At 36.4% G+C, this 25,580-nt stretch overlaps 1 long non-coding RNA gene across 1 annotated transcript; it reads right to left on the reverse strand.

The window, feature by feature from the left end:
- Positions 1-1,923: 1,923 nt before the first annotated feature.
- On the reverse strand, positions 1,924-21,744 carry LOC124902008 (uncharacterized). The gene is made up of 3 exons (XR_007061075.1): positions 21,623-21,744; positions 14,843-14,984; positions 1,924-2,413 (listed from the first exon to the last, which is right to left on the reverse strand). It is a non-coding gene; the product is annotated as an uncharacterized LOC124902008 (long non-coding RNA).
- Positions 21,745-25,580: the final 3,836 nt, after the last annotated feature.

Genomic DNA, 25,580 nt, shown 5'->3' on the forward strand with positions numbered 1-25,580 from the left:
AGACCTTTAGATATATTCTACATTTTGGCCGAGTTGATTGAATTCATGTAAATTAAATGTGGTTCTGCTAAAAGCTCTATTATAATAACAATAAAAGAGGAGTCCTACAGATGCAAGCTCTAATCATTCACATTTGACACGGATGAAATGACTGACTAATAAATCACATATTCAGTGTACAGTTTACTGAAAAACGATCATGATGAATATAATTTCAATAAACATAAAAATATTTTAACTGTGCTGAATAGAAAATTCGATAATAAATTTAAACGGCCTAATGATATTTCCTCTGTAAAATGCATGCTTGACAAAGAAAATTTTCATTGGTGTTATAATTCTGAATAAAATGTTTGCGTTCATAAATACAGAACTCGGATATCCATGACATGGAGAGGATAGTCACAATGGCAGACTGAGATAGTATAACTGGGCATTTTTGCATATCGACGTTGGAGCCTGAACTCCAGGGTTGTAACTTCACTGCCACCACTTACTAGATTGGACCATGGACAAGTTACTTAATCTTTGCCTTGATGCTCTATCTGCAAAATGGGACAATAATAATATGTAACCATACAAAATTGTTATGAGGATTGAAAGATTTAACACCTGTAAAATGCTTGGAATAGTCCTGGCATGTTAATCTCAGTAAGAGTCACCATCATCATTATCACCAGTTTCATAATAATCACCTTCATTCTGTATTTTTTCTGGGGTGGGGAAAGGAAATATTTCAAAACTGGGAACCTCATCTAGCCTGAAATTAACTGAGAAAATAATCCAGGATATTACTGATCATTCTTTGACAGTAGTGATAATGTTGTGGCAACTTGTATACTGAGTAAAATAGCACTATGAACTTTCCTTAGCATAGGTCACGAAAGGACATGTCTTTAAAATGTTTAGATCACACCTCTCAGTTGAGGTTTCATCACTGGAAACATCATTTTTAACACCATTGCCAGAATTATAACTGTCATGCTTCCAGTTTTAATGTCTGTGGCATGCTATGAGTTTAAACTAAATTATCTCATTTAATCTCAGCACCAAATTTATAAGGGAGATATTATTATCAGCCTTATCTTATTAAGAAAGAACAGGTTTTGAAAAGCTGGAAAAGTTGCTGAAGTTCATGGGTCTAAGTAGAAGAACCAGACTTCGAACTATAATATCAGGCTATGTGCAGATCCATTACACCATACTGCTTTCTGGAAATATACGTCCTTGTCTGTGGGACTGTTGTCACTTCACTTTGGATCAACTTTGCTGCTAATAATATTGCAATAAATGGTATTCCTTTGTCAATTGTATTAATCAAAGTCCTGGGAGGAAAGGAGATATTGTACATATGAGAATAGTTTAAGAAAACATAATTAAGAGACTCTGTACTAAGGTATGGGAGGAGTTAAGGAATTCAAGAATTGGCAAAGCCTTCTGAAACTAACAATGACAGAAAGTCATTACCATAACAAGGCCAACACAGGCAAGGGCAGGAGGCAGCCGCTGGCATTTGGAGAGAGCTGCAGCCATGTGACAGAGGCCATCTGATATACCCACTCCAGAGGAACACAACTCCTGCTAAAGTGCCACCCTGTTGCAAGAGAGTAGGGCCTAATAATACCTCAATCTCTCTCTCCTTCAGTTATCTGACTTCATTTCAGTGCCTTCCACTGGCCAAACCCAACTGGAAGCCAGAAAGCAAGGGAGCTTAGGTGACACAGTTGGTAGAAGCCATTCTCCCTGGGCACAGATAAAGGCTGAGATGGGCAGAAATTACCAGGTTGGTTTTGCAGCAGGGTTGGGGGAGAAGGCAGGGGGAGAATGGAGACTTACTGTGTAGCACTAAGCATACCTGAGATATTATTCTACAGTACCATCACTTAGTACAATATCGGTCGAGAAAATTGAAGAATTCAAAAATTAAAGATACAAATCCATTTAATAACAACATACTTTTCAAAATGTGAGGGGAAAACTTTTTTTTTTAATTAAGAAAGTACATCCTCCAGGTAATGTCATTGCGTAGGTATGTGGAATGTAAAATGTTTGAATGGGATCAGCAGTCTTCTCCAAGTTGCTTATACGTTAAACTGATCCTTGAATGGGTTGCTATAATTACATTTTAAAGAGTCTGGCAAACATTGCAAGTTTTTTGCTTTGCATTTAAATTGGCTCAGCATCTTGGTGCCAGTGGAATTTACCAGGCTGGTGAGAGCTCAGCTCAGATTTCTCAATGCTTCACAGCCCCATGGGCCCCTTACAATGTTTCTTTGGACACCCTCTGTACTGTGTCATTACTGTAGGTCATCTGCTGGGGAATCACATTGTCACACACTCTCCTCGTGCATCCTGTCGTCTTGTCTTCTCCGTAAGCAGCCCTGTGCTGTGAGCCTGCTCCGCAGGATTTAGTCTATGTGAAGGAAATTGAAAATGAACATTAACAGATTTTGTTCTTACTCATTTAGAAAATAATTCATATGCCTTGATTTTGGTGATGTTCACAATCCTTCATTGACTCTCAAATTTCTGCACTCCTGAAGCCCATTTCTGAGTTGAGGCTTTTTCTGCTCTTGCCAATCGCTAGGTAGAACAAGTATAGCCTTGGTCATGCCCTTAACAGATCATGAGGCTGAGTTTAACCCAGAGAAGGCCTCCCTGGTAAAAGGGAGCTGAAGCTGAAATTCATTAATTATTTGCAAAGCTCTGTTTTTGTTTACATTTTCTGTCATCTCAAGCAGAGTGGCATCATTTAGGCACTATGTAAAATCTTTCCAGCAATTCATTCAACTTACATCATGTATCCAACTGGGGAGGAATTCCTGGAGCTGTTCTAAAACAATGAGTGTTGGTGAGTTGAAAAATTGAAATGACATTTTAAAAATGCTACTAAGCTGAGTTGAGAGAGAAAAAAGGGAGGCTTGGAGTTTTCTTTCTATTACGACATATTTTTTCAAAATTCCCCATTTTCAATTCCTCTTAATGTTTCCAGTGATTGAAGCACTTTGTTTAGGGCAAAGAAATATAAATCAATAGAGAATTACTTAACTAGAAAATGCAAATCAATACCAACTTCCTTATGCAGGAACTTTTTGGTCTGAAATATTTAGCAATATGCTATTTGTTTTAAAAAAATGTGGCTGTAATAAGTGATAGCTTGTAGTGATGCTATTTACATATCAAAGCACTATAAAATAATCAGTTTATCTCAGGGCATGAACAACTACCACTTTTTTGTGCATTCTATATCTATTATAAACAGACAATAATAAAATAAATAGAATCAGAATAGCAAAAGGACAGTTTTGAATTATCATTAATGTATAATGCACACCTAATCCATATGTCCTATATTTTTCATTAATAAATATCTAATGAAAATTGATATATAAGCGTAATGATCACTTAGAAGGACATTTAAGTGTTTCTGAATGAAAAAACTAAATTATTTTGTGTTTGATCTTGTCTGTTTTGGTACTTTGATAATTTTCTGTGATTAAGAAAACACAAAAATGCTGAGCCAGGAAAATTAAATTATTTAGTATCTGCTGTCACTTTCAGAGAAAGAACTTTGTACTGTACTAAGATTGTGATCCTGAACCTACTGCTTATTAGCTGTTCCATTCTGAGTAAATCAATTACGTGTTAGTTGTTTTGTCTTTGCAGATTCTTCTTAGCTGGGTCCTTTACTGCATTGACCATGTGCCAATGGTGGCTCCATATTTTTATTAGACTCTACTCCTTTAGCAATAGTTGACTTGGATCTAAGCTAGACCAATTAAGGTCCTTCGCTAGGATTTGGCTTGGCCCAGTGAGAGCTTTCCTGCATTGGCTGAAGCTTTATGGTGCATAACTTATGAACCAGTGGCCATGGTTCCCTGAGTCTGAAGAATGCTGGTCTGCAGTGAAAGGGAATAAAACCAACACGCAGAGAGAAACAGTTGCAGGCACAGTCCTGGGGAGGTCCATGTTTCTCGTTCTAGTTGTTCCTGATGCCCCTCTGCCTCCCTGCATTTCCTGTGACCGGGTCATTCAACCTTTACTTGGCTTTTACTTATTCAAATTGGGTTTTATCTCACTCAGTTTGGGTTAGAATATTAAACCCTCAATTTCACAAGCTGCACCCAAAGCCTTGTATGTGATTTTTGTTTGTTTGTTTGCAATTCGTGTAATACCATTGAATCATTTATTTAAAAGCTCTTGAAATTTTAACCCAACTATTTCAAGTTTATGTGGTCTTTGTCTTTTATTAATTAATAATTACTATTACCATATACACAGAGAACATTAGTTTTTGGGGATTTTAAAATTTGTTTTTAATCAACTGTACTTAAAACATTTTAAGGAACGGGATTTTGTGTTATTTTTTTAAAGAAGGTTCTCAAAATTATGTAAACCTAATGCTCCTATGAAACCTGGAACCACTTTTCACCCTAATTAATACAACTTAACTTCTCCAATTTTCAATTCACTTGTTTGTAAAAGATAGGAAATTAATCTTGAATGTCACTAAAATTCTGTGACTCTACTAATGTATAAAGTATAACTTCCCTCCACACCTCATTCATTTTTACAACCCATTGGGAAATGACTCTTTCTGTTCAAAGTTACACAGAGGCCATAACAACGTGCCATTAATTAGTAACAGAAAGAATTTTGAGGAGGAAGTGACCAGAAGAACTGGAAACTTGAGGGGATTTTAGGTAAATTCTACCTGCCATTACCCCTCTGGAACAGACAAAGGGTCTCAATATTGAGGGACAATTGCTGAAATGAAAATTCTAGGTATTATACGTTGGGGACTTTTTATTTTTTTTCATTACAGTATCATACTTCCTTTCTGGTGCTTAGATGATTCCCTGAAGTTTTGTAGTCTAGCGTTTGATTCTTTCTTTTGCATCTTTAAATTTTTTTATTTATGTAACATATTAAAAATGTAACACTTTTCAGACATGTTAAATATACTGAAAATAGTTTACTATCAGAAAGCGCCGATTACCAAGAGATAAAAATTTTCTCCATTGTTTTCTGTTACTGCTGTTCAGCTGTCAGACATTAGCTCCTTATCATACGGTCCTGCTTGCCTCTTATCTTCTTAGTTTTCTAAATGTATAATGCACCTCAACTTTTTCTGGTTCTAAAGGTTATTAAAGTTTTTCCATTGATAGTATTATGGCTTCACTCAATTTTAAGGAAGAACTTAAAGTCACAAGGTGGTAGCTAGCCAAAGACTTTCTTTAAAGAATTAACAATATAGTTGATATGTGGAATTTTAAAAATGTAGCTTTAATTGGATTTTTTGCATATTCTCATTACCCATGTCCAGTATCAAAATTACAAGACCAGCACTGTATTCAGCCCAATTTCACATATATGTGAAATTAGCCAAGATTGAGATTAACTGATAGGACTGGTCACTTAGAATTCAGAGTTATTGAAGGAAAACATCTGCCTAACCCTAGACATTTAGACGAGCTGGAGTGGGACAAATGGAGAATGGTTGGGATTAAGAAATCAATAAGATCCACAAGGATAGCATAGGTAATAATGGAGGCCCAATCAGTAGCATATACGGTGGAGGGAAGATGAGTTGTGACCCAGAGATCTGGCAGTGAGGGTCAGATAGAGAACACAATAGATAGGAGAGCAAAGTATCCATTTGCTGTAGTGTACAATAGATGGCAGGCAAGGAAGAAGGGCCTTGACTTCCAGAAAGGCAGCAGGTAGAAAGGGATGGGTTCCTCGTGGCCTGGGCTAGCTCAGAGTCCCAGAACTAAAAGACTAGGGTTGAGAAAACAGAAGCCACTCCAGGGTCAACTTTGGCCCCCCTTCCAATTCATTCTTCACACACAGATGTCAGACTTGCACATGTAATTACACTCCTCCTCTATTTAAACATTGTAATGACCTCCATTGTCCTCAGGATGAAAGTCCAAATTCTTCAGCATGACCCAAACAGTCATTCATGGTCTAGTTTATGCCTTCTCCATGAGCCTTATTGCCCAGTTTCCCTTCTCATTCTCTATATTCCAATACATTGAGTAATTATAATTCCAAAAGAGTAACGCTACTTTATGCCACTATCTTTTTGCACATGCTATTACCTCTGACTATAAAACTTTCACCTTGAAAAATCTTCCTCGTCCTTCAAGTCTTAACTCAAGCAGTACTTCCTTTCTGAAGCCTACCTTGCTCATTCTCCCAGTAGAGTTGGTCCCTACTGTCCTTGCACATTCTCAAGTTATGTACTATTGTATCTTGCTAAAAGTTTTATTTTACATGGTTATCTCTTATACTAGAAATATTATCTTATTGTGAATAGATTCCATGCATTATTCATTAACCCTAATATTAAGGTTATGTCTGGCCCATACTGAACCCTCAGTGCTTATAGAATAAATAATGAGACAGGTTTTCAATTAATAAATCTTGAGTATAAAGTGAAGGTTTGAGATAAAGTAAAGTAAGACCTGGTTATAGAAAACAGAAGAGAAAGTCACAGTGCATCTAACATCAACAATGACCTTTGCTGAGCCTTTGAGTATAGGCCTCCATAACTTTCTTCAAGCTAGAAAGAGAATTTTTTCCAATACAGAGGCAGAATTAAGCCTATTTATTTATCTGGAGTGAAGTAACAGCAAAGCCATAGGTGAGAAGGATGTAAAAACAGAAAGCTGTAAGCCTGATTAGCCAAACTTCAGAAATACAAGTTTCCCTTGCCTTGAAGAAGCACCAGGTAGCAGAAAGAGCCTGGGCTTTGGGGTTGTAAGAAACTTGATTTACAGCCATTTATTAAGTATAAGATGTTAACTTTCATTCTCTGTCAGTTTTCTTAATTTTAAAATAGGGATATTAATTCTAACCACAGAGGGTTTGTGAGAATTAGCTGAAGTTATATAGTGCAAATGTGATAGAATGGGCTCTAGGAATGTTTGTTTTCTTTTTACATGCCAAACCCCAATTACTTGCTGGCTCTTTTCTGATTTCTTAGAATTGTTTTGAGAAAAAAAAATCAGGCCACAGATAAAAATTTGCATCAAAGTGATATAGCAAGCAACATTTTAAAGGTTGAACATCAGTACTAAGAATGATACTGTCACCTAGATAATGTCAACCAGGAAATACATTTGAAATGTTAGCCATAAATATACAACGGTCACTCAACTACTGTGTATTATTTAAAATTGAGTAACTAATAACTTCAAAAATAGGATAAAGCTATATGGAGACACCGAACCTCAAGAAAATAGTTTGTTAGTAAATTGTTTCATCCACAGTATATACCTGGAGTTCTTAAATATGGCTGATTTAACCTTTGTGGAACATTTCAGAGAACATTGCAGCAACAGTAGCTTAGCCAAAGGCATTGTCTTTCTTCTCTGAAATGAAAAATGCTTTCTTTAATTGTCATCCCAATTTTTCCCACTCTAATAACCTCACTCTGTATTTCAGTCAGGGTTTGATCAGAGAAACACAACCTATATGAAATATACATTCATATATTATGGATGTGCCTGACCTTACACAGTTATGGAACATAGTTAAACCATTTTCTTCTGGGCTTGGTGGTGGAGACAGAAATCCACAGGCAGGAGGCTGAGAGGCAGGATGCGTATGAAGTGATGAAAGCCATAACAAATGGGAACCTGGGAAGCTGGAGCCTGTGAGGACAGGTTAAATCAGGGATAATCTCTCACTGTCTTTACATGTGGATGATGGGGATATTCTGCAAAAGAACCTAGTGCTCTTCATCATAGAGCGAAATCTGCACCTAGCACAGGAGCCAGCCGTGAATGAGGACTGGCAGGAGCTATAGGAACTGCAGGAGGGATGCCATTGCAAGGTAGTGAGCCCTCAATAACCAACAATGTGCATACACTGCAGGGGGCCTCATGCTTGCTTTGACCTTCAGAGTGCAAAAAGAACATGGCTGATGCTTCCTATTAACAAGAACTATACAGGGAAGAAATTTTACGAAACATAGTTCCAACTGAGTTAAACTGATATACCACCAATCCACCATATTCTAAATGATTGTATAAATTTCCTACTCTGTACTTTTAATTTCTTAACCTAACTTGTTCTTACCTATGTCCTTAAGATAAAATCTTCTCCCAGATAACCTCTCTTACCAAAACTGAGCTCTATTTGCTATTCAATAGATAAATGAATGCAACTCAATGCATCAATTATCCAGGGCAATGTTTAACTTTATCTGTTTCATAATGGATTTCCAGAACTAGTAATCACACTTAACTCACACTGTCCAGGAGTAACTTGTTTCAAATGAATTTTGGTGTAATGGCTTTCCCATGTTACTTTGAAATGCAGTCTTGCTATTTTCTCATTTTTCTTGCAGCTGAGTCTTTCATTTGGTAAATGTAGACAGATCTGTATTATACTGAAAACCTGAAATGGACTAGTGAGGTATTCTGGATAGTGGAAAATGAATTTCTTATTTAAAATGAAAGAAACTTTCCCTGGTTCAGCTTTGAAGAACATAGAAAGTCATGTCATTAGCAATAATTTACTCATTTGTATATTTTACACAGATTTAATAAGTCTTTGCATTAAACATTGGCTTTCATATGGAGATTAAAAGTGCTTTGTCGGATTTGCAAGTAAATGTGGAAAGCTTAAACTTGACCAACACACCAAGAATAAAGGAAGGGTAATACTGCTATTTCCCCTTCTTCTATTCTGGAGCCAAACACATAGGAAACTGGTGCACTAAAGCAGCCATGGTCATGATAAGCTGATGAGATGGGGGACTGAGGAGAAAGTAGACCCCAAGCCTGAAGAAAACGTGATGTGACATATCTAGGCCAGGTGAGCACTTATAAACCTCCCAACAGTACTGCTTGTCCTACAGCAATTTAGAACTTTCTGCAAAACAGTGTGTCAAAACTGATGGGAAGCTATCGGCAGGAAAATAGGACAACTTTCCGTAGCCTTGGCAGAAGCTCCTCTAGGGGGCGAAGAAAAGACTAGACGGTGCTGCATTTGAGAGATTCTGGCTCTTGACGATGGAGCATATTCAGGATGGCTATAATTAAAAAGTCAGAAAACAGCAGATGCTGGTGAAGCTGCAGAAAAAAAGGGAACACTCAAACACTGTTGGTGGGAATGTATATTAGTTCAGCCACTGTGGAAAACCGTTTAGAAATTTCTCAAGGAACTTAAAGCAGAACTACCATTAGGCCCAACAATCCCATTATTGGGTATATATCAAAAATAAAATAAATTGTTCTACCAAAAAGACACATGCAGTTGTACATTAATCACAGAAATATTCACAGTAGCAAAGACATTAATTCAACCTAGGTGCCCATCAATAGTGAATTGGATAAAGAAAATGTGGTACGTATACACCATGGAATACTCTGCAGCCATATAAAAGAGCAAAATCATGTCCCTTGCAGCAAGATGGATGTAACTGGAGGCCATTATCCTAAGTGGATTAACACAGAAACAGAAAGCCAAATACCACATGCTCTCACTTTTAAATGGGAGCTAAACATCGGTACTCATGGACATAAAAATGACAACAATAGACATGGCACTGCTAGAGGGGAGGGAGAGGAGCAAGCATTGAAAAAAATAACTATTGAGTACTATGCTCACTCCCTGGGTGACAGGATCAATCGTACCACAAATCTCAGCACATACCCAGGTACCAAACCTGAACATGTGCCCACTTAATCTGAAATAACAGTTTTAATTAAAAGGAAAAAGGGGAGAGGTAAGAAAGTATCTGTGACTAGCAGTGTTCCCCAAAAACCTCAGACTCATCTCACAATACTCGCAAACCACTTCACCATAACCAAAGTAAAGCCTGGGAACATGACCTAGACCCATCTTGTACAGGCAATTTTCAGACTAAACCTTTGTACTTTTAATCCCTCCTTGGTAGTCATTTTATCCAGATCCCAACTTCGCAAGGACTATTTAGGTAGCATTATAGGAAACAGGAGAGAGAGATGATATGGTATGAGATGTTAGCAATTTCATTATAATAATGTTAATAGATTTAACTTATTTCCACATCATATTTTAGATACTATAAAATGAAAACAATAATTTATCCTGAGGTTGCTCATTCTGCAAATATTTATTGGGCACCTATGAAGCACTAAACACCAAGGAGACACAGGGGAGAAAAATTCCTTGATCTCATAGAGCTTCCATTCTAATAACTGTCATCTGTCAATCTTTCCTCCCATTCTTCAAGACAGTGAGTTTTAGCTTACAACTCTCTTTAAGTCACCCATCTTTATCTCACACCTTTCACTCTTAGTAGACAACTTTGTACCCCATTTCATAAAGAAACCAGACAGGAGCTTAGTTTTCTCCCCAGCTCCATTGAGAATAGAACCCAGCCTGTCCTCATTTCTTCCTGACTCAGAGGATTAGGCAGTAATTTTGAAATTTCCCCAGAGTTTGGAAGGCCATGGAGCTATGAACATACTAAGTTGGCTTTCGGCATTTGGCTGCAAAATTGAGAGTACCGATTATTTTGCTTAATCCAATATTTCTTTTCTTCATTTGCTGACATACTCCAAAGATTTTGCATGCCTTCAAAGCAGCCACTGAATTTTACTAACTCATTTTGTTAACCTTAAAGAAGACTGCATCCACTCTTAATCAGGATAAAGAATTGCTTTTTAAAACAAATCTTTTATTAGTTGCTAGTTAGCAGGTAATATAGCAGAAGGTTGGTGAGATTATAAAAATGGTTTAAGAAAAAAGTAAGTGTCCAAAAGAAACCTTCTCTTTTAGTTCCTAAGTCAGAGATATTGAGAGCTCAGCAAAAAATAGATGTTCATAAATATAGTTGATCCTTGAACAATGCAGGTTTGAATTGCAGGGTTCAGTTATGTGCATTTTTTTTTCAATAAAAATTAACTCCAAGTGTGCCTGCTTCTCTTGCCTCCTCTCCACCTCTTCCTCCTCTGCCGCCTCTGAGACAGAAAGAATGATCCTTCCTCTTCCTCCTCCATCTCAGCCTACTCAACTTATAAAGATGATGAGGATGAAGACCTTTATGATAATCCACCTACACTTAATGCATAGTAAATATATTTTCTTTTCCTTATGATTTTTTAAATAACATTTTATTTTCTCTAGCATATATATTGTAACAATACAGTATATAATACATATAACATACAAAATAAATGTTAATCAACTTTATGTTATTGATAAGGCTTTCAGTCAACAGTGGGCTATTAATAGTTAGGTTTGGAAGGCGTCAAAAGTTATACACAGATTTTTGTGCATGGGGTTTTGATGCCTCTAAGTCCCACATTGTTCAAAGGTCAGTTGTACTAGTTAAATTGTTACAGAGTTATGGAGTCAAAAGATGGTGGACTTTGGAGCACAGAGCCCTTGGTTTAAATACCAGCTATACAATTTAGTAGCTATGTGACTTTGTAAAATCATTTGATATCTGTAAAACCAAGTTTTAACAGTTGTAAAATAAAGATAAAAATATACCCCCTTAAGGCCATTGTAAAGATTGTTGCAATGGACCGATTTTACCCCGTTTATATTAATATGTTGAAACCCTAATCCCAATGTTACAATATTTGGAGATGGGGCCTGAGGTCGTGAGGGTGGAGGTCTCATGAATTGGATCAGTGCTCTTATAGGAAAAGACACAGGTGATATGATCCCTCACTCAACCATGTGAAGATACAGCAAGAAAGAAGAGGTCTCTTACCAAGCATGGGATCTACCAGCATCTTGATTTTGGACTTCCTGGCCTCCAGAATCATGAGAAATAAATGCTTGTTGTTTAAGCAACCCAGTCTGTCCTATTTTGTTATAGCAGCCCAAACAGACTAAGACAGGAAGATGAAAAAATGACTCCACATTCCCAGCAGTTTACTTGGGTTAAATGGCAACTGATTTGAGATTAAACACCAGTTTTCTTTAGAATTCCTGTTCGCCTATTATACCCTCACCCCTAATCTTCATATAAGGAGTTTTGTTCATAACTCTGCAATCAAAATATAATTGGTGGCTGGAAGTTCACAGAGGAGCACTGACAAATACAAACGTTCCCAAATACTTAATCCCCTCAGAGACAGTATTTGAGTTATTTTGTTTTTGTGTTCAGGGATGGATCTTGCCTGTTTGATACAAGTTAGAGTAATAGAAACCTAATGAACCTTTCTCATCAGAAGTCTCTCTCTACCCCCCAAACAAAATGTATCTGTGAAGAGTCAATTATTTTTATGCTTTCTTAGCCAAACTTTAGGATGATCAGTAAGTAACAGAAATTATAATTAGAATACTGAGAATATTGTTCCATTTTTTAATCATGGAAATCCTGCAACTTTTCTAGTAAGACATAGGCAACAGCAGAAACACTGATGGATAAACTTGTGCCTTCAGATTAATTTAGATATATTCGCATGCTTTTGATTAATGTAGGAGTTCTTGTCCTTCTAGATGAACTTGTTAATTCCTTTCGTGGAATCTGATCTATCTTGCTTAGTGAAGAGAAATAGGATCATTTGCAAAGGATACAATAGAGACCTGAGCTCCACATTTGTTTTAATCTCCGGTGATATACTGTACTGCTACTGAGAAAATGCCCCATCTTTATTTCCTGGAGTTGGCTTGACATTTACAAACCTAATGCTGATTTGATATGGGAGTACAACGAAAGTGAGGAATGGAAAATATACTCAGGGGAAGTTGAAAAAGAGAAAAAGAGAAAATTGAGTACTCGTATATGACCATTAGCTACTGTTAATGAATCTGTTCAACTGATGAGATACTATTTTTAATTATCTCCATTATTGTAGGCATAGAAGATAGGGGAAGGGATTCTTCACCCCTCTTTAATTCAGACCTTACTACTTCAACCAACAATTCATATCCTTTTGGTTTTGGAGAAAGCTTGGAATTAAATTATAATGGCAAGGATAATCTTTAGATCCATCTCTTTCTTTTCCTACCATTTCCTTATTTAGTACAAAATGAAGATAATGAATGAGGTAAATGTACACACATATTAATTCAAATTTGTAAAATTTTTGAGAGTTTACTATCTATCAGGTGCTGAATTAGGTACTGGATATGAAGAGAAAAATAAATCATCATTTCTGTTCTTATGAATTTCAAAGGTTAACAGGAGAAACTGAATATTTGTTCACACAAATCAGTGCACTTAGAGGTGTGTCTTAGGTCAGATTTCCTAAAAGCACAGTGGGAACTGGGGGTTCTTAGCAAGCACTTCACTGATGAAGTGTTTTCAGGATAAACTTCTAAGGAAGCAGATTAGGATAGAGGAAGAAGCTAAGCAGAGATGTGGGTTTCACTAAGTCTAACCTCAGCCTAATCTCCAGAGAACCTGGACCAACACCAGAGAACCTCTGTGAACAACACCACAGGCTTATCTCACTCCAAGTCAAGAGGCTAGGCCTTTATGCCCTTGAATCATTTAGTCATTTGATGAGGGATCCCCTGTTAGGCATTCCTGAGCTCCTGTTGGCCAAAGACAGATAATTATGGGCCGTTAGCAGCCAAGCTCACAACTGCGAGATAAGTGCATTGGCTCCATAAAGGGGACAAGGCTAAGGCAACATCCACTACTAGATTCAAAAATGAATATAACGAGGCTTTATATTCAGGTAACCCAGAGGTTCATTATACAGACTGGTATTAAACAAACAACTATAATGCACTGTGCCAAGTATAATGATAAGAGGTTGAATAGGTGGTATAGAGGAGAGAGTGATTCCCTAATTATACATTTATTGGCACTTTATCTCATTGCACAAAATACTGGAGTTCTTGAAAATAACTTTGGTGGTAAGGAGTGTGCTCATGGAAGTCTTTTTGGAGAAGATGCTAACTGGAGTTGATTTACAAGTAACAGGCTCTATGAATGTCATACTGGTGAATGGGGGATTATTGAGTGACCCTGAATTAAATCTCAGTGGGATTCTTTTTCAACTTATTGCTATATATAAGCATATTATACACTATAAAATAAGTAAGTGAGGCTTTTTAAAAGACTGTAAAAAAGGAATAAAATCAGGTTTTAAGGAAGCAGGCAACTTGTAATCCAATGACAAAAGCATTTCCATGATAACATTCATGGTGATAATATTTGCTTTTGGAACTTGGAAGGAAGCTATCAACATGAGTAAAGTGCTATTAATGAGTCATGATTTCTTGAGAGATACAGATATATTTTTGTTTAATAATGGGCTTGGTCTGTCTGTCAAGTTTAATGATTGAGGTGTGTTTTCATAAAACATTTACCCAAAAGTATTTCACAATATCCAGTGATATTTTCATTTAATGTGACATTGTTTAATTTGAGGCATCTTGGAAGTAATGTGGCTGTAGGCTTATAGACCTTCCAGGGAAAACAGGTCTAACTTAGAACTTGGAACATCTCTAATTGGTTCCAGGTTTTCCTTTCTTGTCATGTGCTACTCCAGAGTTTATTTACTTAGGTTAATAATAAATGAAAGTCATGTTTCATGGTACTTATCTGATACACTGCCCACTCAAATATTTATGTTTTAAGAATGCAACAGAATTAAACAATGTTTCTTTGCGTGTGTAGCTCAGTATCAGTTTATCAGTTTCTACGGTGTCTGTTAACTTGAGATCTTGAATATAGCACTTGGCTTAGAGGTTGAGAAATTCACTGGTCATTTATTTAATTATTTTCATTATTTATTACTTGAGATTTTCATATTTCATAACCTTTTTAATGATCTTCCCATAATGTCCTTTTAATTTGTAATGTATAAATGCATGTTTACTTTAAGAACAAAAGAAAAGAAAGGGAATGTTTTGTGACTTCCATACTTACCTTCCACATTTGCTTATTTTGTCTTTTCATGTGAACATTTTTAAACTTGCTTGTATATTGGACATTCCATTTAAGAAACAAAATTATATTGTCTAAATGTTGTGTTCATTCTTCCATGTTTGAGGACCCTGTTGGTAAATGACTATAAAAAGAGAAAATTCCTTATGAGGAGAAATGTAAGGGAAGAGAAAAAAGACACACACACACACACACACACACACACACACACACACACACACACACAGAGCTATGGGGTCAACGACTCTAGGACAAAGTGGCCTGATTTAAGCAATATTTGGAACTTGCTGTCAACAGAACTTAATTTTATGTCTAGAAAAGCTTATGGGACACAGTTGCATGAGAAAGTATTGTCAACTTATGCCCTTCTGAATTTTATTATTTTTACACATTATTTCCTGAGAGAAGAGAATACATGAGGTCTTATTCAAATATGAAAAGGAAAAACAGGCTTAGAAAAACCGATCCTTTTATTTGCATAACTTCAGTCCTTTTACTCACGTATTTCCCATAGGGATAAGTGAATGGTTTAAATTTTAGGAGACATGTCTTTCAAAGCTGTACATCTCTAGGCAAGGAGGAAAGTTTGAAGTAAGTATCTGGACAATTTTTGAGAGAGGAAGAAAGAATTCTACAAAGAAATTCTTGTTTAGCCAAATTGTCTGTTAAAGGAAACCCTGATTAACCTACATACATATTTGCTTTTTTAAAGCGATATGTAATAGTTGTGCAAACTTGGAGAATACATGTGATATTCTATCACATACGTACAACGTGTAATGAGCAAATCAGGGTAATTGCGATATCTATCACCTCTAACACTGACCTTTTCTTTATGTTGGGAACATTCTAATTCTTCTCTTGCAACTATTTTGCTTATGTCTATTTCATTGGCTATGCTTAAACTCAACTTCATGGCCTCTAGAGCAATAATTATTCCTTTGTTGCTCCAATTAAATTAAATCAGAATAGGCCTTAATTGACCTGTTTCTCTGGTTTATCTCCACATTTTGGTTTCAAATAGGAGAAAGCAGGCATTTGGAGGTTGTTTTATTTCTCTTGTTTAGTAATATCATCCTACATTGGTTATCCACAATTGGTTTAGTTCTTTAGAGATTCATAGCACCCTTTAAAGCTTTTTCTGGTTAAAGCACTCTGATTTTCCTTTAGTGAATCTCTCCCCTCTCACTCTCAGTCCACATGGTTTGGGTAAGAAGTTAACCCCATTCCCTTACCCAGCCCAGCCCATTGAGGAAGTCACATGACCAAGGCTGACAATCAAAACATCTCAGCACCATTGCCAGGATAGGCCCTAGAGATAAAGCTAGGCCAAACCATCCCGTCTTCATAACTAGACTACTCAATTCACATGTCCTTAGGAAGATAAAGGAGATCTCTTTCTTTTGGTTTTGTAAACTGAACAGCCAAATGAAAAGACACTTTTTGACTCTCATCCTATTATTTAAAATATAGCTATCAAGAGCTATGCTTACTACATTTGGCACATGATCTAATATAATTTCTATAAAAACTCTGAAGTAGGTACTTCTATTATCCCCATTTTGCATACCAGAAACTGAGACTTACACATATCAAGTAGGTTTATGAAGGTGGAATGCTGATACATAAGTAGTAGTTGGGTTTGAACTTAGTCTGATCTGAAGCTTGTGCTCTTAAACCACTACATGTCATCTGTAGACATTCTAGTGAGCAGAAGGAAAGCCCACATCCAAATTTTTGCAAACACCAAAATAAAATGTGTTTAGAAGGGAGGAATGAAAGAAAATTGGGGAGAATACAATGGAGAATCACAAAGTTAGAGGAACCTTAGTCTATCAGCTATTGGAGATAGTGGTGGGGCAGAGATGAATAACACTCAACTAAGTTCAATACTGGGTAAGTATCTGCCAAGCTAAATCTACAACCCAAAGCAGCCTGGGGTTATCACATCACCTTCAGAGTGAAGGCTATGTATGGGAGTATTCTAGAGTTTGCTAGAACTACATAGTCAGTCTGGCATGGTATCCTGTTGTTTCAGGTGTTTGTTCATTAACTAGCTCATTTATCCATTCATTCATCCTTCCACTTTTTATTGAACATATACTAAGCGGCAAGTATTAGATGCCTGCAATATATCAAGGTATCTATCTACTCTCAAGGAACTCCCAGTCTAGAACAAGAGGAAGATGAGTTAAGAGCTAATTATAATGCCATAATAAATGTTAAACCAAAAAAAGGAAAAAGAAATTATAATGAGTAGATTTGGTGACTTAGCCTGTGTTGGAACATACAATTGAGCCAAGGAAGATGCCTCTAATATTTAGTCTTATGCATTTTATTTATTTAATTACAGACAAATTTAATTCTGGAGATGTTCTCAGATGGCTTTCCCTGCTCAAGAACACAACAGTTTTATAAATAGCAAACTTCTTTATTTGCGCTGGCAGAAAGCCATCTGAATTTCGCAGTGCCTTTGCTAAAAGCTACATTTAAGGAATATTACGCTGAGTCATTATGACATAATTGGGAAAAATACAAGGAATCTGATGCACATGGGTTCCAAGTCAACTTAACTGCTTACTAGGTGTATAGTACTATGCAGATTATTTAACATCTCTGAGCTTGTTTGTTTAACTATAACATGAGGTTGGACATATGTAAAGTTTAAATGAATTTGTACACATAAAGTGCACCCCATGTTAGTATTCACTTGCCCAGATATTAGTTTTCTTCTTTTCTATAGTTTCTTAGTTTTCGTTTTCTCATTTGTCAAATTGGAATAATAATATTTACTTGCAGTACTGATCATTCAATGAGAGAATATGTCAAAAAATAGTTGGTGCATAGTAGATGCTCAAGAAATGTCAAATTCTCCTGCCTTTTCACTTAGATTCTTAAAAGTATGAATGGTTTCATATCCTCATTGACAAAGTATTTCTCTGAAAAATTCTAAGAATAAAAAATCCTACATCTCTGAATAATTACATTCATGACTCAGGGTGAATTAAAGCTTCACTTTGCCTGGAAAGACGCAAAAGAAACTTGAAGACAAAACAAGAAGCAGATCACAAAGACATAAAGTATAGTGGAACTAGTCAGGACTTCAAGTAAGATAATTTGTATGTATATTCTCACTGGCTTGGTTAATATTGTCCTGATCTTATAAAAAGAAAAAAAGTAATGGTTTGGAATCATCGACAATACAAGGAAAAACAAGTTGCTTTATTTGTAAAGATACAAATAGATCTTTCTCCACAGATACTGTAGAGAAAGTGATTTTGAAGTACATTTTCTACTCATTTTTAAGAAGCATTTTTGTCATACTGGGCCCAAGTCTTGTGGTTGATAGATCAGTCATATGCAAGCCCTCTTTCTGCTGAAAAGTAGTTTTCTACTCTAATTCCATTCTATTTTCATTTATGCTGGAATGATGAATAATGCAGTGTGCAATTACTTCTTTTCTGATTTAATACTAGCATAGGAACTCCTCTCTAGAAAAATATCCAATTAAAATTCACAGTGGCAGGTGTGGGTTGTGGACCTGGTCAAAAGGCATAAACCACCAACCCACCCTGTGATTGTTTTAGCAGAGGATTTCCAGGCATTACTTCAAATGATCTCAGCCATGCATTGCAAGTAATGAAGGCGGCACAAATTCATACCAGCTCCTTGACTCCTTGGCTGCTACTGAATATGGCTTTATTTTCCATTTGTTGAGCTGGAACATCCCCTCAGATTAGAGAGAAGTCAGCCCTTTGCAGTTTATAAGCACAGTTCTGTTAGGAGAGAGAAATAACAGCATGGATTCTGATTTCATTTCTGCTTTAAGGAACAAATTCTTCATTACACTTGTAAGCAGAGGCAGAATGGCTCTTGGTAAAAGTTAAAGCATGAACAGTACCAGCAAGAATAATTGAAATCTACACATTTAAATCTAATTCTATTTGATTTATTTTCAAACAGGTATTAAACCCCTACTATATGCAAACTAGTATGCTCAATGCGTGTATGTTGAATTAAGTGTGCCATATCCATTATTTAAATTGGTCCACCTACATTTCATATAATCTCAATTTTATGTAGTTACATGATTCAACTAGTCATGGATAACTTTGATTTCCTTCTTGTCTTCTTATTGTTACCCATGAAGTTTTAGAGACATCGTACATCCTCAGAATATATTTGCTTAAATAAAAGCTGATTTCATGAGTAAAATCTCATGTTAAGATTCCAAGAAAACATAAAAGAAACCAGAAAATAATACCTCCAGTTGTTCCAGGCTCCTCCTTTCTTATCAGGATGGTTTAAGATTGACTAGTGTGGTCGGTAGATTCTAAGATGTCTTCTAATGATTCCTGCCTCCTGATAGTCACCCTCATACAACCCCTTCCTATTGAGTGTAGGATTGCTTAGTGACTTGCTTCTAACCACCAGAATATGGAAAAAGTCATAGAATGCCATTTCTGTGATTAGGTTATGTAAAATTATTACTTCCATCTTGCTAGCAGACTTTATTGCTTTCTCAGTGTGCACTGTGATGAAGACAGCTGTCGTGTTAGACAGGTGAATGAAGCAAGGATGTGAGGTGTACTTTCAGCCAACAAACAGCTAGAAACATATTGCTCAGTCCACCGACCCATGAGAAACTAAATTTCACAAACAAACCCATGAACTTGGAAGCAGATCCTTTCCCAGACAAGCCTTCAGATGAGACCACAAGCCTGGCCAAGACCACGATTACAGCTTGTGAAAGACCCTGAAGCAGACAACCCAGCTAAACTGTGTCTGAATTCCTGACTCGTAGAAAACATGAGGATATAAAATGTGGGTTGTTTAAAGCTACTTGGTTTACATAATTTGTAATGCAGCAATGCATAAATAATATCATTAGATAATCTTCATACCTTTGAATTCTTATCTGAGCTTTACCTTGGCTAAACTGATAGACTACTTTATTTTTACTTTATCTTCTCTTCGTTTTGCTCTTATGGAAGGATCAATAAAAGGTAAAAATTGCTGGGTGTGGTGGCTTATGCCTGTAATCCCAGCACTTTAGGAGGCCAAGGCAGGCTGACCACTTGAGGCCAGGAGTTCAAGACCAGCCTTACCAACATGGCAAAACCCTGTCTATAAAAAATGCAAAAATTAGCCAGTCATGGTCGCACATGCCTGTAATCCCAGCTGCTCAGGAGACTGAGGCATGAGAATTGCTTGAGCCTGGGAGGCAGAGGCTGCTGTGAGCTGAGATCACCACCCTGCACTCCAGCCTGGGTGACAGAGCCAGACTCTGTCTCAAAAAAAAAAAAAAAAAAAGGTAAAAATGATCACAAGCTTGAGGGAGCATAAAATTTGTTCCTGGGATCTCAAATATGCTTTGGTCAAGCATTAGAGTAGCTTGCTTGTCTAATGATATATGATAGGTGACAGTGGGGAAGATTGTGCTGCTTATTTTACATTTATCCTCTTTGATCCTTAGTTATTTTTATTTAAAAATAAAAATGGTGGAGTATATAGCTACCTATGCTGAGATCTATACTGTACTGAGTGTTTTATATTCATCATCATCTTTAATAATAATAACATCTTAATTTATGCTCTCAGAATCTCTGAGATAAAGATTGAATAAGGAGTATATTATCAAAGTGATAACAAGCAACATATTTCCATAAAGAGTATATTATTAATGTAACATCAGCAAGATGGCAGAATAAGAAACCCTGGACTCCCTTTCCCCCCATAATTACACTGGTTTAACAATAAAACATGGACAAATTCCCTTTGTGAGAAATCCAGAAACTAGTTGAGAGGCTCTAGTACCCAGAGTGAACATGAGACTAGCCACATTGAAGTAGGTAGGGAAATTTGAAACACTCTCTCACCATAATCCCTCCTCCTGGCATAGTACCATGCAACTTGGAGCAAACCCCCAAGATCTCAGCTTCTCCTTGGAGAGCAAGAGTTGGATTGCCTGCCCAACACCTTAACTTTTCTGGGGGCTTCCCAGAAGACTAGCTTTTGTCTTGCCTCTCTTGAAGTGCTGACAGGACCCAGTGTATTCTAGCTGCCTTGGAATCAGTGAAAAAGAAAAATTGCAGTTTGCACTGTCAGCCTCCATAGCCAGTCCCCCTAGTCCAGCACAGAAAAAGTGGATGAAAAATCTCGGCTTCCAGATTCTCCCTGAGGAATAAAGAAGTTAGACCATGTGTACAACCTCAAATTCTCTAGGAACATGCAAAGGACTGGTTTCTGTGCTGCCTGTCTTGGAGCACTAACAAGACCTAGCATACTCTTACTGCCCAGAGACCAGTGAGAAAAAAGATGGCAGTTTGGACTATCAGCCACCGTAGGCTAGGCCTTCCATTTAGCCCAGCACAGAGCAAACGAAAACATACTCAGATCCCCACTTCTCTTTGAAGAAGGAAAGAATTGAACAGAAAGTCCAACTATTCAACTTTTCCAGATGCTGCCTGAGGGACTGGCTTCAGTCTTGCTTGTCTCAGAGTACTGATGGAACCTGTCATACTCTGGACACCAGGGTGTCACTGAGAACAAAGAAGGTAGTTGGACTAGCAATAAAGTTTGAAATCCCGCCCCCCCACCCCAAATCTCTGGCTGGGATGATTAGTGAGGGTCTTTTCTTGCATGAGGCAATACTGTGAAGACTCAGAGGGATAGCTTGTATTCATCCATTTTCATTGTGCTGATGAAGACATAACCTAAGACTGGGTAATTTATAAAGAAAAAGAGGCTTAATATACTCACAGTTTCACGTGGCTGGGGAGGCCTCAAAACCATAGTGGAAGGCAGCAGGCACATGTTACATGGTGGCAGACAAGAGAGAATGAGAGCCAAGCAAAGGGGGAAACCCCTTTGCAAAATCATCAGATCTCATGAAACTTATTCACTACCGTGAGAACAGTATGGGGGAAACCGCCCCATGATTCAATTATCTTTCACTGGGTCCCTCCCATAACACATGGGAATTATAGGAGTAACAATTCAAGATGAGATTTGGGCAGGGACACATCCAAACCACATCATAGCTGTTTTCTCTAATATGCAGTTAACCAACACAAAGTACCAAGAAAACTTGAAGAAATAGGAAAATATGTCCCAAACAAAGGAACAAAATAAACCTCCTGAAACTGACCCTAATAAAACAGAGATATGTGATCTACCTCACAGAATATTCAACATAACCATCATAAAGATACTTAACAAGGTCAGGAGAACAATGCATAAGCAAAGTGAAAATTTCAAAAAAGAGATAGAAAATATATTTTAAAAACCGGAAATTTTAGAGCTGAAGAATGTAACTGAACACTAGAGGTTCAACAACACACCAGATCAAGCAGAAGAATTAGTGAACTCAAAGAGAGATCATTGGAAATTACCCAGAGAAGCAAAAATAAAAAAAGAATGAAATAGTAAGCAAGAGTAAGAAAAGCTTAAGGGACTTTAAGGACACCATAAGTAGACCAATATATGCATTATGGAAGTCGGAGAAGAAAAAGAAGGAGAGGGAAAAAATGGACAGAAATATTATTTTAAAAATATAGTTTCTAGGCTGGGCATGGTGGCTCATGCCTGTAGTTGAGCGGGGTGAATCACGACGTCAGGAGATCGATACCATCTTGGCCAACATGGTGAAACCCTGTCTCTACTAAAATACAAAAAATTAGCCAGGCATGGTGGCACATGCCTGTAGTCCCAGCTACTTGCGAGACTGAGGCAGGGGAATCACTTGAACCCGGGAGGCAGAGGTTGCAGTGAGCTGAGATTGTGCCACTGCACTCTAGCCTGGTGACAGAGTAAGATTCCGTCTCAAAAAAAAAAACAAAAACAAAAAAATATATATGTATATATATATAGTTCCTGAAAACATCTCAACTCTAAAAAAGGAATTGGACATCTAGAATCAGGAGGCCTAACAGACTTCAAATAAGTGAAATTATTCCAAAAATGTACACTTAAATTTATTATATTGAAAGTGTCAAAAATTAATGATAAAAGGGGAATTTTGAAAGCAGAAAGAGAAAAAACGACTGGTCACGTACAGGGGAACCTCTATAAGATCTCTCATGAGCTTATTTTTCAGCAAGATCTTGCATGCCAGAGGCAGTAGGATGATTTATTCAACATGAAGGGAAAAAAACCTGCCAACAAAGAATAGTATACCTGAAAAAAAATTCCCTTCAAAAATGAAAGCTAGATAAAGACTTTCTCAGACCAAAACAAGCCAAGAGAGTTCATCACCACCCAACCTGCCTTACAAGAAATGTTAAGGGGAGTTCTTTAAGTTGACAAGAAATGGTGATAACACAAAAGCATATAAAAGTATGAAACTCACAGGTAATGATGAATATATAGACACATAGTAATGTAATACTCTGAGAGTGGTGAGCAGGTCACTTTTGATTCTGTACAAACAATTAAAAAGAGTATTAAAAATAACTATAAATATAAAAATATGTTCATGGATACATGATATAAAAAGATGTTAAATGTGACATTAATAACATAAAATGGTGGGGAGGAAGAGGTAAAAGTGTAGAATATTTGTTTGTATGTGACTGAAGTTAAGTTGTTATCAACTTGAAATAGACTATTGCAAGGAATTTTATATAAGCCCCATGGTAACCACAAAAAACAAACCTATAGAAAATACACAAAGGAAAAAGAAAAGAATCAAGGCATAGCAATATAAAATTAACAAACAATAAAACACAAAGACAACAAGAGAGGAAAAGATGGACAAAAGGACAAAAAGAGAGATAACAACTAAATGGCAATAACAAGTCCTTTCCTGTTAATAATTATCTTAAATGCAAATGATTTAAACTCTCCAATCAAGTCACAGAGTAGCTGAATGGATAAAAAAAAAAGCAAGATATGACTATATGTTGTGTATAAGAGACTCACTTTAGATTTAGGAACACACTTAGGCTAAAAGTGAAGAGATGGAAAAGAACATTCCATGGAAATGGTAACTGAGAGAGCAGGGGTGATTATACTTACATCAGAAAAAAACAGGTTTTTAAGTCAAAAACTGTCACAAGTGACAAAGAAGGACATTATATAATGATAACATAATCCACTTACCAGGAAGATATAATAATTAAAAATATATGCACCTGATATCAATATCAGATCACTTAAATATATAAAATGAACATTAGCTGAAATGAAAAAAAAGCAATACTTCAATATTCCACTTTCAATAATGGGTAGAATATCTATATTGAAAAAAATCAATAAAGAAACAACTGACTTGAACAACACTATGTAATAAATGGATTTAATAGACATATACAGATCATTCCACTCAACAACAGCAGAATGTAAACTTTCCCATAGTATGCATGGACTATTCTCTAGGATAGATCATGTTAGGTCACAAAAGAAATTTAAGAAGATTGAAATTATACCAAGTATATTTTCTGGCCACAATGGAATGAAACTAGAAATCAATATTAGAAGAAAAACCAGAAAATTTACAAGTGTGGTGAAATTATATAACATATTCCTGAACCAATGAGTCAAAAAAGAAATCAAAAAGGAAATTTGAAAACCTCCTGAGACAAATAAAATCGTAAACACAGTATAACAAAAGGGATGCAGCAAAAGGAATACAAAAAAGGAAGTTTATAGCAATAAATGACTACATTTAAAAAAGAATAGGCCAGGTGTGGTGGCTCATGCCTGTAATCCCAGCACTTTGGGAAACCGAGGAGGGCGGATCACGAGGTCAGGAGATTGAGACCATCCTGGCTAATACAGTGAAACCCTGTCTCTACTAAAAATACCAAAAAAAAAAAAAAAAAAATTAGATGGGGGTGTTGGTGGGTACCTGTAGTCCCAGCTACTCGGGAGGCTGAAGCAGGAGAATGGTGTGAACCTGGGAGGCGTCACTGCACTCCAGCCTGGGTGATAAAGCAAGACTCCGTCTCAAAGGAAAAAAAAAAAAAAAAAAGAATAATAATCTCACATAAACAATGTAACTTTATACCTCAAGGAATTGGAAAAAGAAAGACAATTAAATTTAAAGTTAGCAGAAAGAAGGGAATAATGAAGATTTCAGCAGAAATAAAATAGAGAATAGAAAAACAATAGAAAAAGTCAAAATTAAGAATTGATTTGATTTCTTGAAAAGATGAACTAAATCAACAAACATTTAGACTACGAAAAAAGAAAACTTAAATAAATACAATCAGAAATGAAAGAGAAGACATAATTGATGCTACAGAAATAAAAAGAATCATGAGATTACTATGCACAATTATATACCAACAAATAAGTAACCTAGAAGAAAGAGATAAATTCCTAGGCATACAACTTACCAAGACTGTATCATAAAGAAATAGAAAATCTGAAAAGAGTCATAACTAGTAAGGAGATTGAACCTGTAATTAAAAACAAAAACTAACAAAAAACCAAAAAACCTCCCAACAAAGAAAAGCCCAGGACCAGATGGCTTCACTAATTAATTTAACCAAACATTAATGAAGAATTAGTGTCAATTATTCTCAAACTTTTCCAAAAATTTGAAGAGTAGAAAACATTTCTAAATATATCTTATGAAGTCACTGTTACCCTGATACCAAGCCAGATTAGGACACTATAAGTAAAGAAAACTACAGGCAGATATTCCTGATGAACATAAATGCAAAAATTCTTAATCATGTACTAGCAAAATGAATTCAGCAACAAATTAAAAGGA

Source organism: Homo sapiens, chromosome 8 (assembly GCF_000001405.40).
Source record: "Homo sapiens chromosome 8, GRCh38.p14 Primary Assembly".
NCBI lineage: Eukaryota > Metazoa > Chordata > Mammalia > Primates > Hominidae > Homo > Homo sapiens.